The sequence below is a fragment of the Homo sapiens genome, chromosome 8, assembly GCF_000001405.40.
Source record: "Homo sapiens chromosome 8, GRCh38.p14 Primary Assembly".
Lineage (NCBI taxonomy): Eukaryota > Metazoa > Chordata > Mammalia > Primates > Hominidae > Homo > Homo sapiens.
Genome location: NC_000008.11, coordinates 140333386 through 140352284, shown reverse-complemented (window position 1 = coordinate 140352284; position 18899 = coordinate 140333386). Strand labels below are relative to the sequence as shown.

At 48.1% G+C, this 18899-nt stretch overlaps 1 protein-coding gene across 18 annotated transcripts in view, besides 2 other annotated features; it reads left to right on the top strand.

The window, feature by feature from the left end:
* Window positions 1–18899, top strand: part of TRAPPC9 (trafficking protein particle complex subunit 9) — a 730855-nt gene that overhangs the window by 106295 nt on the left and 605661 nt on the right. Inside the window, exon 1 of one of the 18 annotated variants that reach the window (XM_011517330.3) lies at window positions 4361–4528. The exons of the other annotated variants lie outside the window; for them this stretch is intronic. The gene's annotated coding sequence lies outside the window, so the exon portion shown is untranslated. Of the gene's footprint in view, window positions 1–4360; window positions 4529–18899 lie in introns of those variants that run through there. 18 annotated transcript variants of the gene reach the window in all.
* Window positions 6366–6587: a silencer, noted in NCBI's record as "fragment chr8:141355797-141356018 (GRCh37/hg19 assembly coordinates)". NCBI's record gives its function as "represses an EF-1alpha promoter that drives an FKBP-Casp9 reporter gene in an ReSE screen in K562 erythroleukemia cells {active_cell/tissue: K562}" and the evidence as "EXISTENCE:reporter gene assay evidence [ECO:0000049][PMID:32094911]".
* Window positions 8621–8915: an enhancer, noted in NCBI's record as "tiled region #993; HepG2 Activating non-DNase unmatched - State 13:Ctcf, and K562 Activating DNase unmatched - State 5:Enh". NCBI's record gives its function as "activates a minimal TATA promoter and a strong SV40 promoter by Sharpr-MPRA in HepG2 and K562 cells {active_cell/tissue: HepG2 | K562}" and the evidence as "EXISTENCE:reporter gene assay evidence [ECO:0000049][PMID:27701403]".

Here is an 18899-nt window from a genome sequence, read left to right as displayed (position 1 = left end):
GAGAGCTAACTCATGTGCCCTACAATTTATCCATCTAAAGTATATGAGAATGCTCACAGGGTTGTGCAGCCACACCACAAGTGAACTACTCATCCCTGCTGTGGTGTGGATGATCCTTTAAAATGTAATGCCAAGTGAAGGAAGCCAGGCTCTGAATTCCACACACATGTTTTATGATCTCAATTATTTGAAATGACCAAAATAGACTATAGGGACAGAATGGATTAGTCTTTCTTAGGACTGGGGGAATGGGGGACTTTGTGGGGGCGATGGCTAAAGGGTATGGGGTTGAGGCGGTGAAGGTATTCCAATAGTACATTGTGGTGGTTGTTGCACAACTGTGTGATATCCTCAAAACCATTGAATTGCACCTTTTAATGGGCCAACTGCTATGTGAATTATATCTCAACAAAGCTGTTACAAAAGTTTTTAAGAGTCTCTAGCAGACCTCTCTGTCTCATTGGCTAGAACCAGATCATGTGGTCATGCCAGCCCACTGTAAGCGTGATGGGAAGCACAGTCATCCCTGAGTATTGGCAGGGGGCATTGGCTCCAGGCTCTCTCTTGGATACCAAAACCTAGGGATACTCAAGTCCCTGATATAAAATGGCATAGTATTTGCATATAACTTATACACATCCTCCCATATAGTTTGTTTATTTATTTATTTTTATTTTTAGCAGAGATGAGGTCTCGCCTTGTTGCTCAGGCTGGTCTTGTCCTCTTGGGCTGAAGCAGTCCTCCTGCCTCAGCCTCCCGAAGTGTTGGAATTACAGGCATGAGCCACCACACCCAGCCTCCTATATGGTTTAAGCCATCTCTAGATTACTTGTAACACTTCATACAATGTAAATGCTACCTACATAAGCCATTATTCTACTGCATTGTTTAGGGAAGGAAAAAAAAAAACTACACACGTTCAGCACAGATGCAATTTTTTCCCCCAAATATTTTCAATCCTCGGTTGGTTGAATCCATGGGCTCAGTGCTACAGCTAGGAAGGGCTGAATGGATTTGGCCGTCTTTGTCTCTAGGGGCAGGCAGCGTGGGGGGCTGGAGGGGTGCGGGGAGAATGGCAGCACAGTCAGCGACTAGCGTGGGCCTGTGTCTCTCATCCGTTGTCGCTTCTCCTTCCTCATCCTTTACCTGACTACCCACGCGGTTGTTCCGGCCCAGCCCTGGAATCACCTTTTCTGCCATCCTCTCCCCTCTGCACCTTGGATTCGTTGAGAGGCCCAGCCAGCCTGCTTCTGCTTTCTCGCCCTGACTGCCTTCGTTCTGTTTAATTTGCCGTCATCTCCTCTGGAGCCTCCTGCCCCTCTCCCTTGCTCCACTCCAGCCTCCCATTGCTTCATTCTCCGGACACCCCTCACAGTTACTGTTTAAATTGCAAATCAGATCCTGTTTTGTTGCTCCTGTAATAAAACCCAGGACTCAGTGTGGCCTGCAGGTTCTGCCCCCGGCCCTGCCCTCTCTCCCACCTTGTCCCTTACTTTCTCGTCTGCTCCCGGTTCCAGTTCCTTTGGCTTCCTTAATTAATGCTTACGTGCCAAGACTTTTCCACCCCAGAGCCCCACATGCCTGTTCCTGGGCGATCTTGAACGGTGCGCTTCTGCATGAGGGCTCACCTCCAGTGCCGTCTTCTCCAGGAGACCACCGTGACCCCCGGCTCTTCTGCATCATACCCGCCGCTTTGCGTTTCCCAGTCTTAACGTGAGAGGCTAGCAGACCCCATCTGCCTTGTCCTGGGACGGCCTGGAACACAGTAGGTGTGAAGAAATACTGTTAAATGGATGGACAGCCTCCCTTTGATATTTACCTGCACACCGCTTTGCCACTGTCCCTGTCACATTGCGATGGCTGTTTAGGAGAAGTCTAAATGTCACTTCCCCATCTGGTTTGCTAATGGGACTTGCCTGGGGTGGCCACTGGTGATTGCACCTTGCAGGTCACTCATCTTGTCATGGGCTGCTTGTCTCTATCAAAGTCACCTTGATGGAGGGTGGAAGTGGCAGCAGACGTCGCTGAATACAGGAGACCAAAAATAATCACTGCAATTATTTTGAAAGAAAGCAAAGTTTGTTGCTTCAGAAAATGTTATTTTCAGAGCAGAATTCAGCATCTCTGCTTCTAAACCTTAGTGGGCATGTTTGCTGGAAAGGCGCGTCTTCCTAACCAAGGCTGCCGCAGATCCCACTGTTCCCTCAAAAGGTGCTTCTTGACTTTGTGGCAGAGGGAACCAGTTATGTTAGATGATTGTGAAGACGTTTTTAGAAAAGGGAGTTAAGGGAAGGATTACTTAATCAGAGCAAGGCTTGGTTACTCACTTAGAGGATGTAAATCATCTGCTGACCGTGTAGCTGAGTGAGAGAGGCATTGCTGGGCAGAGGTGGCTTCTGCAGCCTGACACCCTGTGCTACCGTTGCCGGGCTACCTGGACGTGGTGGCAGCCCGTTACCCTCATCAGGTCTTCTTCACCTTCCCCAATTCCCGCCCCTATTCTTGGTGCAGTGCCATGCTTTAAGGGGCACTGCTGGAAGGGGGCGGATGTTGACTTCGCCAGGCCTGGTGTCTCATTGGAATGTTGCGGAAGGGCCGCAAAGCCCATGGCACAAGCGCTCATGCCCTCCTGCCCACTCCGTGTTCCCCGCTCCCTCCTGCCGCCTCCCTCTCTCCCACCCCACTGGCTTCCCTGTGTGCAGACATGCCGTAGTTACCACGATGTGCAGCTCAGCTCAGCCCAGCCAAGCCAAGCAACCTTCCGCTCTGAAGCGGAACCTCTGCCAGGGTCGTCTGCCTTCCCTCGCGCGCCCCCTTCGGCCCCCCTGTGTGCCCTTCCCTCGCGCGCCCCCATCGGCCCCGCTGTGTGCCCTTCCCTCGCGCGCCCCCATCGGCCCCGCTGTGTGCCCTTCCCTCGCGCGCCCTTCCCTCGCGCGCCCCCTTCGGCCCCCTTGTGTGCCCTCTCCTTGCGTGCCTCCTTCAGCCCCCTGGTGTGCCCTTCCTTCGTGCGCCCCCATCGGCCCCCCTCTGTGCCCTTCCGTCGTGTGCCCCCTTCGGCCCCCTTCTGTGCCCTTCCCTCGCCCGCCTCCTTCGGCCCCCTGGTGTGTCCTTCCTTCGTGCGCCCCCATCGGCCCCCGCTGTGTGCCCTTCCCTTCCCTCGTGCGCCGTCTTCAGCCCCCCCGCTTGCCCTTCCCTCGCACGCCCCCCTTCAGCCCCCTCTGCCGGACGTCCCTCTCCTCTCCCTTGCCAAGGTCACCAGTTTCCAAAGCAGGAGTCATTTCCTGTCCTCTTTTTCTGTCTGTCAACAGTGTTCTCTCAGTCCAGTGCTTCCTCTACACGGTGCTTTCTTCCTTTTCCCAGCTCATCCTGGAACTTCCCCACTTCTGATTCCCGTGTGCTGGGCGCTTGCGTCAGGGCTTGGTTCTGCCTCCGCTTGTCTCTTTGCTCCCAGTGTCTGGTGATTCCCCTCGGCCTCATGCCTTTAGATGCCATTTAAAATGTACACTTCAGCTTTTTGGCATGTTCACAGATATGTGCACCTATCACCACAGTCAGTTTTAGAACATTTTTATCACCTCCAAAGGAAGCCCCACACCCTACAGCTAGCTAGAGGCACATGTTGGCAGTCACCTATAGTTGAATGCATTAATAATACATGCTTTTTTTTGTTCCCTTTCTTGCTTGCTTTTCAGGTTGTTTTTGGTACTGTTGATAACACTGTGGTGAACATCTTTAGGTCTTTGGCTTTTTTTTTAGCAGGAGAGAGTTTTCATCAGGAGGGGGCTTCCTGGGTCAGCCTTTTTGAGCGTTGTGATTGCTGTTGAGACACTGCTGGATGCAGCCAGCAGCAGGGCTGCTAATTGAGTGTGTGCAGAACGCTGCCTTACTCTTCTAATTTGCGTTTTCTTGGTGACTTGCAAGGTTGGATTTTTTCTGCAGGTTTGTTTGTTGTATCTCTTTTATGTGAAGTTCTTTTCCAGTCTTCTGATTGCTTCCTCCCTCCTGCTCATTTGACTATCACTGAAACTTAGTTGGGATTTGATGGGGCAGATGGTGTCCTGCCATCGTGCTTTGTGATGTGAATGAAGTGGTCTGCCCACAGTCACCCAGTTATCCAGTCAGCTGTGAGTGGCAGAACAGCAGGACCCCTGGCGTCCCAGCGCCTCGGAAAGGGGGAAACACTTGCCATGGCACCTTTGACTGACATTTTTGTTCAGTTGTCATCTGAGTGAATGCCCTTCTTAGAGCTGCTGGAGTTGCCGATGGCAAATTCTTCTCAGCCCAGTGCTCCTGGTCCCTGGTGGTGGGGTGATGATATATGTTTATGTTTCTTTGAAGGAAAAGACACCCATTGAACATTGAACCTGGAACAATTTCAAAACAGCCTTTGACCAGAGGACTTATGGAAAAGGAAGAAGTACCACCTGGAAAATTATGAGACAGCTATAAAAATCACTGTATTCATAACAGTTCTAGAGACATACATGTACACCATCAAAGAGAAATTATTCCGACACTTGTTAAAATGGTAAGGAGAATTTTATTTAAGACTACTACAGTAGGAGTCAACTCTATTGCAACAGAGGAGAGATTGAACTCAGCTCTGAATACAACAAGGCCAAGTGGGGCTTTATAGCCAATGAGCAGAGTGAGGGGGTCAGTGGATGGAAAATTACTAAGAGGAGAGACATTAAGTGTAGGGGATTCTTGCTAAACTTGCCTAACAGGGAGGCCCAGGATGACTTCCCGGGATTCTTGTTGAAACTGGGCTAGGCAGGCTGAGGACAGGGCTGAAGGATGAGGCCTCGTTGGAAAGAGGACTCACAGGAGCTTGTCTGAAGTTTGGTCAAGGAGAGTCTTTGTCAGTGCACATGTCCATACATATGCACACATAGATAGGATTTCTTATAGGGGATTGGGCTACGTGCTGTGGGAGCTGGCTACCCAGGCCTGTGAAGCATCGTTTCGGTGTCTGCTGCTGGATCCAGAAGGCCTGAGGCAGGCAGGTGGCTGGGAAGGGAAGGCGGATGTGAAGGGAGGGAAGCAAGGACAAGCTAGGAACTGTGGGGCTGAGCTGGACCCCATGGGGATGGCCTGGAGCCCATGTCAGCTTCTCACCACCTCCCAGCCTCCCGCTCTAATGGTGGGGGCTCCTGGAGGAGAGGCTGGTGCCCTTTGCGGCCGTGCTAAACATGCGTGCCTGGCCCAGAGCTGGAGGAGCAGAGGAGCTATGGGTGGGATGCTGCCCAGTCCACCAGTGTGGGTGTGTGTCCTGCCCTGGGCCCCGGAACCGATGCTACCCCGTGCCTCTGCCTCAGACATCACTCCATGTGCTGACTCAGCTTCACAGCGAGGGGCTGGGAAGTGTCATTCCAACTCAGCCGAGTGGACACAGTGGTGACGATTTTAATTTCTGGTGTGAATCTCAAGTCCACTTTTAGGAAGCAGGAGATAAATCCCCATCAAGAAAAATCATTCATTTTCTTTGCATCTCTCTCTAGCATATTTGATATTTGATTGAAATTTTAACACCTGAAACAACTTTTTGTTTTGTTTTCTCTTTGGCAAGTCCATCCTTACAGGTGTAGTTAGATGGGTTAGACAGGGATACTAATAATTCTCCTCCTCCCTCTTCCCATCTTGGATAGAAAAATATTGATCTGATATTATGTGAGGCTTTCTGAATGAGAGTGAATTGGACAGTGAAAAGCATAAGAAAAAATAAAGTAACTAACTCCTTTAAAAATCTTGGTTTTTGCATGTAAAATTGTGGTGTTTGAGCTGAGCATTTAATTTTAGTAGACCCTCAGGACTCCAAAGGATGTGTTTGACGGGTTCTAGGAGTACTGTTCGGATAATAAGGGACAAGGAGGAGCTGGAAAATCTGCACAGGAGCAGCCGCTCCCTTTACATCCTTTCTGCAGGTATTTGTGGATCATCTCGCGTAAGTTGGGTACTGTGCGTAATCCCAGCAGTGTGAGGGGCACGCAGTTCCTTTGGGGATGACCTGGAGAAACTGGCTGGGGAGATGGAGCAACTGGGAGAAGCCGAGGTTGGCTGCTGCTTCCCACACCCTCACCCTCCCCAGCCGATGCACTCCAGGCAGTTTCACGTGTTTCAGCTTCCTTAGGTCGAAGGCTCGGTTTCTATTTGGTGCCATCCTACCTTGCATGTCTGAGTATGGATTTGGAGGTGGCAGAGCTGGCTTTGAACACTAGGATGTGTTTGTTTCCTTAACTCTTCCAGTCCCGTAAGCCCCTTTGGGTTGTCCCCTTGCATCTGCCCCAACCCCAGGGCTGTGTCCAGCCTTCCCTGGGTCTTCAGCTGCTGTCTCTCGGTCTCCCCGGATGTCCACGGTGGCCACATCTCTGTGCCTCTCCATTCTGTCAGCGGCCCAGGCCCCAGGTGGTCCATCTCCAGGAGTCTCCACCCCAGCCCCGTTTCCCATCCCTTCCTGCTCCCGTGACCCCTTCCGTGGTGACTGCAGGAACCTGAGGTCTTTTGGTAGCTGACTCCTGCATTTCCTCATCCTCTTCCTCCCCGAGTGTTCCCTTAACCTTCTCATATGGAGTGAGTGGCTCTTCAGCAGGGAAGTTTGGAAATGTGTGGGAGTGTTTCTGGCATAACTGTGACTGGGGCCTGTCGCCAGCATTTAGTCGGAAGGGACAGGGAAGTGAAATGCAAGTATAGCCCAGTGCCGGCCAATACATATCTGTCCCACTCACAATGCCATCCTAGCAATCCGAGGAGATGAGAACCAGCCCTTTTTTTGGCCTGCCTGCCCTGCTGTTCTCTCAAATGCATGCTGGTTTTTCTCCTCTGCCCCCAGGACCTCAGGGCCCAGAGATGGGACGGGCATCATTTTCCGTTGCTACTTCCAAGCAGTCCTCCTCAGAACACTCCAGCTCTTTGGGAGGGTGTACCATTAGGATTGATGGCTCCTGCCTTTCCTTGTGTTGTGGTCATTGCCAGGTGCACTGGCTACTTCTCCTCACTCAGTACCTGGCCTGCTCTGTCCTCAGCACCTCCACCCCATCTCTGTTCCTGGTGGCTTCACCACCCACACAGAGGACCTCCTCAACCCTGCCTGCTCTCCCACTTCTGCATGTTCTGCTGGGGGATCTCACCTGGCCCTGGGGCTTCAGGAATGGTCTTTGCATTCATGGTGCCTGTACTTCTTCCTTCTGGGGTGCTGCAGGCCTGACTGTCGACCCGCCCACCCTGCCTTCGCTTCCCTCTCAGCACAGGGCGCAGGGTGCCCCTGCCCGCCCCACTGCTTGGGCAGAAACCTTGACGCTGTCGTGGCTTCCCCGCCGTCAGGCCCCACGTCTAGTACATCAGGAAGTCCTGGAGGCTTCACTGCCTCAGCACATCCCAGATATGACCACGGCTTCACGCCATAGCACCTTTCTGCTTCAACCTCCCTGGTGGCTCCCAGGACACGTATCAGGAAGTGGAGGGAAAGCCGGGTTATTTTTGGAGGCCTCCCAGGTCCACCTGATGTTTCTCCTCAGTTCTCCTTGCTCACCTCTCTCCAGTCTTCTGCACATTCACTCAGCACCAGCCAGGTTTGTCTTGTTTCTGTGTCTCTGAGAAAACAAACTTGATTTCTGGCTCTTGTCCGGGACCTTGCACTTGTTTTTTTCTGCATGAACAGCTTCCCCCTGGGTCTTGGCATGGCTGCCATTTCTGTGCACCTCAGTTCTGAGCCAAACGCCCACCCTTCTCTGCCTGGCGCTACCATCAGTCTCCCTCCTTGCTAGATGGAGGCTCCTTGAGGGCAGGCGTGCCACCGTCCTGCGCAGTCTCTGTGGCTTGGAGCACTGTGTGACAGGGGCTCAGCAAATGTCTGTTGACTCCCCGTGCAGCAGGGGAAAGTCATGTAACTTCTCCCCACCTCATTTTCCCCATTTGGAAAAGGGGCACAAGAAGGACCCACCTCCTGGGGTGCATCTTTACTGGTTGCTTTAACAAAATACTGCAGACTAGGTGGCTTATAAATAAGGGACATTTACCTCTCACAGCTCGGGGGGCTGGAAGTTCAAGACCAGGGTGCCAGCAGATTTGTGTCCTGTGAGGGCCACTTCCTGGCTCAGAGACATGCTGGAAGGGGCGAGGGAGCTCTCTGGGATCTCCTTTACAAGGGAACTCCTCCTATCATGAGAACTCTACTCACATGCCCTGATCGCCCCCACAAAGGCCCTGTCTCTTAATCCCATCACCTTGGGAGTTAGGGTATAACGTGAATTTGGGGGGACACAGACGTTCAGACCATAACAGGGTGTGTGTGAGGATTAAAGCTGGTTCCATTTCCACCGTTCCCTCCACTCTGTCTCGGCTTGGGAAGCTCAGACAGCTGTTAGTTCCTCTCTCCCTCTGCCCTCCACACTCAGCTGGGTGTGGATTTGGTTATTTTGTGCAAGTAAGACTTAGTTCTCAGGGACAATGCTTTTATTTTTAAAGAAAATCTTCAGAATTTACAATGCCAGTTCCAGGGCCCCATTCCTATCAAGTCAGAATCCCTGGTCCAGGACCCAGGAATCTGTGCTTTGCAGGGACCCCGGGGAGGCCAGGACAGGAGGTGTGTGCCAGGTCTGAGACACAGGCTTTGACAAGTGGAAATTACTAGTGGGGTATTTTTAACTAAGGGCTTCTGTGGGTCTTTGTCTGTTTCTGAAAACCAGCCTCCCTTCTTTCCCCTCCTCACTTATCGTTTGACTGGTTAGGAAGTGAAATGTGCAGAGTCACCTTTGCTGCCTTGTCACCCCTAGAGGAATTCTGCGTCCTTTCGCGGCCCTGCCTCTGTGGGTGGCAGTATTTCCCAAGTCAGATTCACGACGTGGCCCAGTGAGATTTCTCATGGCTTGTAAACTTATATGTTTGAAAAGTAATGCAAAACACTGTATCACCTTTGGTTAAAGATTTAGTGAAACACTTTTAATGAAAAGAAAAATGCCGAGGCTGATATGCATGCCATGGGCTTCAGCCCAGCAGTCATCCTTGGAGAGTGAGGGTTGAGGCCGCAGCCCAGCACTGCTGGGCTCAGGACCACACAGGGCCAGAGCCACCCCTCCATTTCCTACCCCATGCTGGCTTTTCACTTATGAGGAGTTTTCAATTGTGATGTGCTTTTCTGGTCATCTTTTATCATCTTGGATATTTTAATATATGTCCTTTATATTTTTTGAATTTCAGTAAATTCTAAAATAGTATTAAAACAATAATGTGTTATTTTTGCTGGATTTTGGAATTTTGCTAGAATTTGGCCATAGTGATCGCAAGCTTCCCATTGTATAGATTAACAGACTAAAATATACGGGGTTCGGGTTGAAAGCCCTACGTGTCGTATGTTGATGTCCTATATTGTATTTTGTTCCCATTGTGAAGTATGCAGACTTCACATTTGAGTTTTTGTCCCTTAGCTTCATATAGCAGAGCATAAAGAGCTAAAATACGAACTCTGGCCAAAAATGAATGACATGATTTTTTGTATTGCCAAGGATATATGTATATATATTTCCTATTTTTCATTCCTGACATGCGTTTTTCCCCCTTGCATTTTTTTCTCCAGATGGCTTATGTGGTTTCTTTGGACCTTCGATTTGCTATATTTCATTTTTCACTGGGCTGGGGAGAAGGTATGCATCTGCATTGCTGTGTTACAAGGAATCCCAGTGGGAGTTTGTCAGTAAAGGGGTATAATTTGTTTCCATTGCAATTTATGCAATCCCTTTTGTTTGTTCAGAACTAGAGAGAAGGGATTGAATAAAACCCCAGCAGAAATGAAGGGAAGCTTTTGATGTACTTTTAGTTGTATGTTGAAGAGATAAATATCATGTAGTACAACATAATAAGTACCTGCTAATAAAATGCCTGCTTGGTAGAGAAACCACACATGTAAAATAGTGAGGTGAAGAAAAACTATCAGTACTTCAAAATCCCAAATATATTAGTGGATATACTAGTTATAGGAAAATACTAATTTGCCAGGTTTTAGGTGAACCAAAATAGAACATCCCAGGGTGGTATCGAAAGGGACCTTCTGCAATGTCACGAAGGATCTTGTCTCTGTGGGACAACGTGGCTCCAGGTGGTGTCCTCTCCCCAGCAGTGCAGTGCAGTCCTGCTTTCCGTTTGCCCGCCCACCATCTGCTGCACAGAGTGCCAAGACACCATTACTCAGCCTGGACTCTGCCACTTCTGGTCCGGAATATGGCAACTCATCCTGAGGGACCTCCTGCCTTCCAGATCCGCCCTTTCTTTCCTGTCCTCCACCCCTATGATAAAGTGATCTTTCTTTCTAAAGCAGGTGTTTATCTGCAGCAATCTTCTGCTGAAATAGTGTCAGAGGCCAAAGGCCCCACACATTGTGCACTGCTCTTTCAGTCTGGCCCAGGCCGCCTCCTTAGCTTGGGAGAGAGACTTAGCTGCTGTGCCCAGAGCAGAGGCTCTACACACACGTACTGTGAGTTTCTTCTGGCTTTTCACTACCCAGAATGGAGCACTAGCCCCCCTTCCCGTGCTCCGTGCTTCCCTCCAGCCCCTTTCCTTGACACCTTTTGGTAGAAGAAAATTTTTTTCTTCCCAAAGTTTTTTTTTTTTTTTCCCATGCGTATATAACAATGCTTATCACATTTGTGAACATGAGTTCTCTGAAAAGGACTTTAGAGGGGAGACTTTATTCTGGGGAATAGTTTACAAACTGAGGAGAACAGCCTTTGATGCAAACTGAAGCTATCCATTCCAGAGAACAAAAGAAAGGTTTGTCTTTTACAGAGAAAGTTCCCGCCCAGGTTCCCACTCAGGTTCACTTATGTACTTGAAGGTTTCAGACTTGCTGAGTTCTGATTGGTTGTTGCAGGTCACAGTCTATTGATGGCATGAATGGGAACAGGCAGCTATGTAGGCCCCTAAGTTAAGCAGACACGTGGGTTTTCCAGGAACTCAAGGTCTGTGTGTGACCTCTAGTCAACAGATGGCTGCTTGAGTCTAACTTGAATGTAGGTCCCGTTAGCCACTCAGGATGGATTCATCCTGTGGAGCTGGCTTTTTCAGGGCCTACACATTAATTTTTATATTTCATATGTATTAATTTTTAGTTTTCATGTCTGTGGACTGAGGTGTGAGGTGGGACAGCTGGAATGTAGTCTTTTTGTGTTTTTAATCCCAGCCTAATCATAGAGGCTCAATAAATGCTTAATAAGCCCAGTTGCCTTTTTTTCCTCTGCTGTTGTTTCCTCCTCAGTAACATGAGGATGAATACCTATCTTCCTGTGCTGTCATAAGGATTAGAAACAGTGTATATAAAGAACCTGTTCTCAACCTGTTCTCAATTGAGAACCTGTGCTCAATATATAGTAATTGTTGTTGGTTACGTGGATTTGTTCGTGACTTCCAAAGAGTGTTTCAGCATATGCTGCTCTTAAAGAGTCTCACAGTTTTCTATTTTGATGAGGTATGCATATCATTCATGGGTATTTGAGTGGCCTTGGGGAAGATGCTGACTGCCCCTGGGCCTGGGCTACTGCATGTGTAGGAAGGGGACGATGATGCTTTAATTCAGCAGAGGACAGTAGGGGCTGTGATCTTTAAAGTCAGGCAGAGCTGGGTTTGTATCCTGGCTCATGTACTTTATCAAATGTGACCTTTGACAATTTACTGACTTTACCAAGCCTGTTTTTCAACTGCAAAAATAAGAAGATTGTGCCTAGTTAGGTGGAGGATTTATCAGAAAGAATGTGTCAGCTGCCTGGCATTGTGCCTGCCACAGTGGGATTTCAACAGTGCTGGTGTGTTTGCTTACTTCACCCACTAGGCAGGTGGGCAGTTTCCCGGGTGAGGCTGTACAGTTCTTTCTAACTTAAGAGACCTACATATTTTTACTTAGGTCTCTAAGTTAGAAAGAAAAGTTTCTATCTCTCTGGTGAAATGTTAGGCTTTCAGTGGGTATTATTGAAAGTTTTAGCAACAGAGTAACGAGCTAAAGTTACCAAAAGATTGTTTCTCTGCAGGTGATTGTTACCCAAAGATTGTTTCTCAGCCAGGTGGGAACAGATGGGGGAGCCTTTATTTTTGACTGTGTCTGACTCTGACTCTAATCTTTAACTGACCAATTTAGTTTAAAAAATGTTTATCTTGGCTGGGTGCAGTGGCTCATGCCTGTAAATCCCAGTACTTTGGGAGGCTGAGGTGGGTGGATCACCTGAGGTCAGGAGTTCGAGACCAGCGTGGCCAACATGGTGAAACTCCCTATCTCTATGAAATACAAAAAATTAGCTGCGTGTGGTGGTGCACCACGCCTGTAATTCCAGCTACTTGGGAGGCTGAGACAGGAGAATCACTTGAACCTGGGAGGTGGAGGTTGTAGTGAGCTGAGATTGCACCACTGCACTCTAGCCTTGGCAACAAGAGCAAAACTCAGTCTCAAAAAAAAAAGTTTATCTCAGTGGTATGTTGCAGGTACTTAATGCTAAGTGTGACTTCAGTGATGAAAATGTAGGCATCTCTGTATCAGGACCATGTGAGAATAAGATAAGCAGAATTTCTGATGATTGAATTGAAGCCATAGTGAAGTGGTAGGGTTTCATACGCAGTATTGGATCTGGAAACTGGAACGAACTGGAAAAGGGCATGCAGGCTGGATGCACAAGGACTATGGGTCTTCCTCAGGGTTCGGCCTCGTTTGTTTGTTTGGACAAAGGACCAGATGAGGAGTTGGGAGGTGAGACTTTATCCTTAGCCTTTCCACGTGTGAACTTCTCTTCTCCCTGGCCCTCAGTTTTCTCCTTTATAAAAAGTGTAGGAATTGGATTAAATAAGCACTCATATATGTTCATTCACTTGTCAAAGATCTCTGTATTAGATACTGAATCTCAGATTTGATTGATAATTTCAAGCCGATTAGTATTTTCTGTCACTTCAATGTGAAGTGACAGAGAATAATTATTAGATACTGTAAAAATTAATCTTGCCATATGTTTCACATACTGCAAATTTGTTATTCTGGCCCCAAAGGCCAGAGATCTGAAATGCAGATGTTGGCGGTGCTGGTTTGAAGCCTTTCTCTTTGGCCTGTAGGTGGCTGTAAGGCCAGAGATCTGAAATGCAGGTGTTGGTGGTGCTGGCTTGTTTTGAGGCCTTTTCTCTGGCCTGTAGGTGGCCGTCTGGTGGCGTTGGTTTTCTCTGAGCCGTTTCCCGTCGGCCTGTAGGTGGCCGTCTGGTGGCGGTGGTTTTCTCTGAGCCGTTTCCCGTCGGCCTGTAGGTGGCCGTCTGGTGGCGTTGGTTTTCTCTGAGCCGTTTCCCGTCGGCCTGTAGGTGGCCGTCTGGTGGCGGTGGTTTTCTCTGAGCCGTTTCCCGTCGGCCTGTAGGTGGCCGTCTGGTGGCGGTGGTTTTCTCTGAGCCGTTTCCCGTCGGCCTGTAGGTGGCTGTCTGGTGGCGGTGGTTTTCTCTGAGCCGTTTCCTGTCGGCCTGTAGGTGGCCGTCTGGTGGCGTTGGTTTTCTCTGAGCCGTTTCCTGTCGGCCTGTAGGTGGCCGTCTGGTGGCGGTGGTTTTCTCTGAGCCGTTTCCCGTCGGCCTGTAGGTGGCCGTCTTCTTGACAGGTCTCCACATGGTCTTTCCTCTGTGCCTGTGTCCTAATCCCCTCTCGTTATAAGGACGCCAGTCATATTAGCTTAGGGTTCACCCCAGCAAAACTCATTTTACCTCCATTATCTCTTTGAAGAACCTGTCTCCACACACGGTCACATTCTGAGGTGCTGGGGGTTAGGACTTCAATATACGAATTTTGCGGGGAGGGGACACGATTCAACCTGTACCATGCACCATGGTCTCGTCTGTCCTGTCCCATCCTAAGGGACGCTGGTCGCTATCCACTCAATTAATTTTTATGACCTGCAAAGGAGGCCACAGTGACTGACAGTACATTATATGCTTGTGTTGCTCTTTTGGAAGTGGTAATGGAGCGGACACATATGAAATGTCAGCTGAAGACCTCCCCTGTGCCTCCTTTGCCCACTGGTCCATATTTGTGGGCTTTGCTTATACGTATGGCGTGGGGACAGAATACAGTTATTTGGCCCATGCAGCCACCCAGTCTTGCTGGTGTCCACTTCGGTGATCTGAGAGAGAAAAATAAGACTTTTCTGGCTGTCATTTAAAAAAAGACATTGAGTTTAATTCAAATTAATAATTTTTTTTAGCAACTTCTAAGTGGCAGGGATCTGTTTTAGGGGAAGAAATGGCATATTCCTTGGTATAAAATAAAATACGGAGGCCCTCTTTAGAACGTTCAGGATTTATCTCCTCCTGGACTGACTGTCAGACAACCCCGTTTTGCAGGGGAGAAGACTCTCTGCTCAGTCCACTGGGGTCCAGCCTGTTCTGGAAGGCCCCTCCAGAACACCTGCACCAGGCAACAGGGTGCCCGGCCCGTGGTGCTTGCTTGGCTGTTTGTGCACAGCCCTGAGGGCCTGAGGGTTCATCTCGCAGCCCTCTCAGTTATTATTAACTGCCCTCCTAAGCCTTGGCTCCACCTCCCTCTGTTCCCACAGCCACTCTCACAGCACCGCTGATCACGTGCCCATCTGACACCTAGGCAGCCCATTTTGGTGGGGGAGGCAGCAGGTTCAGGGCAGGTGGATCCGGTACCCGCACCCACGTGCTGCATGGCAGAGCCGGAGGGAGGCGCATCTGGATGAGTCGCAGTCCGTTTGTTCTCTCTCTTGCCGGTGACCTTGTTCTCTATCTCTGCTTTCTGGATTGACAAGTCCTGATCCTCTCTGTCTGTGGCTCATATGTCACAGTCCTGGCCTGCTCAAGCTTGATTAATTAATTTTCTCACTCACCCAGCCAGTATTTATCTTCTTAGAATGTTCTTCCTGTTTTATCTTTCCTCAAATGCAGCACCTTCTGGATGTAGAGGAACAGTGACCAGCCTTTGCCTGCAGTCTGTTTCTGGGTCCTGTGAGAGTGTGTGACAGGAGTTGTCACACACCTCTTGTGTGCTGGGCCTGGTGTAACATGTGCCTTCATGTGTGTGAACTCCTCTGATCATCATGGTTAGAGGGATCATTGCAGGCTGAGATTACGAGGAGGAGGCAGTAAGGCATGGTGGGCTTCCGCGGCTGCGTGTGCGAGCTGGGATTACAGTTCCGGGCGCCTGGCTCTGGAGCACATGCCTGACCCCACATCCTGGGTCACCTGCAGCCAGCTAAGGACACTTACTCAGTGGTTGTTGGATCTCAGTGTCCGACACTGACAAGGGGCTGCACCCACTAAAGACTGTACCAGCCAGCATCAGACACCAGTCAAGGGTGTTGCTGTTTTCTAAGTTTTGGAAGCTTACAGCTTTTGGAGTCATCCTTAAATTGTCTTACCCCATATCCTGTTAATCGCCTGGAAGACTCATTCTAATGCTTGAGTTTATCACATGTGGAATTCGTCTTCTTCCTTCCATCGTCACGGCCCTGGTTAGACTTTCAACACTGATGACTTCCATTAGTTTGTTTCTGTACCAAGGAGGTTATCTATCAACTTAGATACAGTTGTCATTTGTTTGAAAGACAAGGATTGGATGAGATAGAAAATGTCAGAATGTAATTTATTCAGCTACCCCTTCATTTTGTTGCTTGCTCATTATTTTGCTACTCAGCCCAAAGAAAATGTGTTAAAAGTTTGCCATCCATCAGTGTCAGAGTAGACAGGGACTTGGTTTGGATGAGGGTGTGCGTTACTGGGGCCTTGATCTTAGTGAGATGGACCTCGCCTCATTTTACTGTGTTTCTTGGGGCTGGGGAAGGGCAGGAAATGAAAGAAGTGGTGCATTTTCTACATATTTCCAGTGGCCCTCAGTTTTGGTGTTGCCTTTCTTTGCCTCCCTGTTCACATCAGCTGTCTCTCATTTGCCGCAGAGCAGAGCGTGGTGCAGACAGAGGCAAGCCAGGGTTGGGAATCTCGGCTGGCTTGCAGCCACAGACTATACACAGTAGGAATATCTGTTGAACAAAATCTTTTGTTGTTGTAACTGTGATCATTATGTCATAAATAAACAAGGGGCTTTTACTGTAATTGTTAAGTCCCGTGACCTCAGGGACGTGACACACAAGTATGCTTCATCATGGGGGAGAAAACTGAGCAGATGGAAAAGAAATTTTGGTTTCAAAAATTATGAAGTTAGTTATACATCAAAAGTAATAATTTGAGTTGTGAAAAAAAAAGGTTCTTAAAAATAAGGAATTACACAGTGAGTCATTGAGATTATAAAGTTAAAAAATATTGTTGGCCAGGTGCGGTGGCTTGCACCTGTAATCCCAGCACTTTGTGGGGCCAAGGCGGGCCTACCACTTGAGGTCAGGAGTTTGAGACCAGCCTGGTCAACATGGCGAAATCCCTGGATCTACTGAAAATACAAAAACTGGCCAGACATGGTGGCGGGAGCCTGTAATCCCAGCTACTCGGGAGGCTAAAGCGGGAGAATCGCTTGAACCCAGGAGGTGGAGGTTTTGGTGAGCTGGGATCACGCCACTGCACTCCAGCCTGGGTGACAAAGCGAGACCCTGTCTCAAAAAAAAAAAAAAAAAAATTGTGAAGACTTATGATGGGACTTAAGAGTGAAGCTCTTGATATATTCAAAATATAACAAAAATTTGCTCATGATTTCACATGGTTATATTTCCACTCCTGACCTCTGAACTTCAGTTTCCCAATGAAGGCTGGATTTGTCTCCTGAATGTCTCATAGGATCCTGCGGTTACCATATCCTCAGCTGAATTCATTCTCTTTTCCTTCTATGTTTCCCGTTTGAGTTAAGGGTGTTGGCATTTTCTTAGTGTGGGAAGCTTAAAACTTTGTCAGTCATCCCCAAGTTGTCATACTTATCCTGTATCCTATTAATTGCCTGGAATGCCCATTCTAATGCCTGAGTTTCTCTCATGTGGGGATTTCCCCTCTTCCCATCGTGGTCATGACTGTGGTTCAGACTCTCAACACCTATACTTGGAATAGTGCAGTAGACTCTTGACATCATGGTCCTGTTCCCTGGCTTTGCTCCTTCCAGCCTGTGCGTCACATTGCGGCCGGAGTTACCTCCTTAGAATGCAAGCTAAATCACATTCTCTTCCTTAAGAATCTGCAGTGTCTACCCTTTGTCTATCTAGTAAAGTCTCAACTCTTTCTCAAGGACATTCACGATTTGATTCAAACCATCTTTCTCAAGGACATTCACGATTTGAGTCAAACCATCTTTCTAGGCTCATTGCATACTTTTTCTATCCATGTAACCTATACTTCAGATACACTGAACATTTTTTGCTTTTTAAGTGTATCACATGGTTTTTCATGCTGCTTCTATTGTAGCATGCTCTGTTCTTGTACTTTCCCTGTTTCCTGTTATTAAGAAATTAATTTATTCCTCTGCACCTCCTTATTATCTTGCTTAGTTCTCAATTCAGCATCATTTTATTATACCTTCAGAATAATTTACCTATCCGATTCCCTCACTAGATTACAGACTCCTTGGGGACAGGGATCATGTCTGTTCACCTTTTATCTTTTATCATTTTGGGCAATGCTACTAGAAAGTAGTCAATACATGTGGAACTTATTTATTTATTTATTTATTTATTTATTTATTTATTTAGTGACAGAGTCTCGCTCTGTCGCCCAAGCTGTGGTACAATGGCACGATCTCGGCTCACTGCAACCTCCACCTCCCGGGTTCAAGCGATTCTCCTGCCTCAGCCTCCCGAGTAGCTGGGATTACAGGCATGTGCCACCACGCCTGGCTAATTTTTGTATTTTTAGTAGAGATGGGGTTTCACCACGTTGGCTAGGCTAGTGTCGAACTCCTGACCTCAAGTGATCCTCCTGCCTTGGCCTCCCAAAGTGCTGGGATTATAGGCGTGAGCCACCTTGCCGAGCCATGGAACTGATTTAATTTCACATTGCCTTTCTCAAATTATTTCCTAAAATGTATCAATTGAGACTCCACCAGGCAGACAAAGGAATTACGAGATTTTGCTGTTGTGCTTGAAGATGTGGGACTCCAGTTGAGCGATTTAAGATAGGCTTCTTCCTTATAGAGGGTGGATATTCAAGATTTGTTTGTCAAATGAATATGAAGTGAAATATGAAATAGTTTTAGAATAAAGGGAGATGGCTGAGCATATTACACATGAGAGATTGTGGTGGAGAAGTAGAAGGCACACTGAACTGAATGGGGGTGAGTTCTTTCTAAGCTTCAATTTCTCTCATCTGTAAACAATGGCACTTTTTTGGTAAGGTTTTGGGAATCATTTAGTAAGGCATATGTAAAGTGCTTGGACTAGTGCTTGGCATGTAGTAAGACCTCATTAAATGTCAGTTATCAATGCAGCTGTTGTTTGTAAAACATCTGTGTTACACTGGGAAGGGCTATAAATTCCCTTACTTTAAACTTCCACCTTTGTGGAAATGAAGGAAGTTCAAAGTTTTCTTATGCCATTGACATTTTATGATACTATGTTCTTCACTCATGGGGCATTTATAAACAAACCCTGATTTTTCGTTGTAAAACCTTTTTGAAAATTCAATTTTGAGCATTTAAAATATAGTTTTTATGGCCAGGCGCGGTGGCTTACGCCTGTAATCCCAGCACTTTGGGAAGCTGAGGCGGGTGGATCACCTGAGGTCAGGAGTTTGAGACCAGCCTGGCCAACATTGCAAAATCCCGTCTTTACTAAAAGTATAAAAATTAGCTGGGCATGGTGGTGGGTGCCTGTAATCCCAGCTACTGAGGAGGCTGAGGCAGGAGAAGCTTGAATCTGGGAGGCGGAGGTTGCAACGAGCTGAGATCGCACCATTGCACTCCAGCCTGGGCGACAAGAGTGAGACTCCGTCTCAACAACAACAACAAACAAAACAAA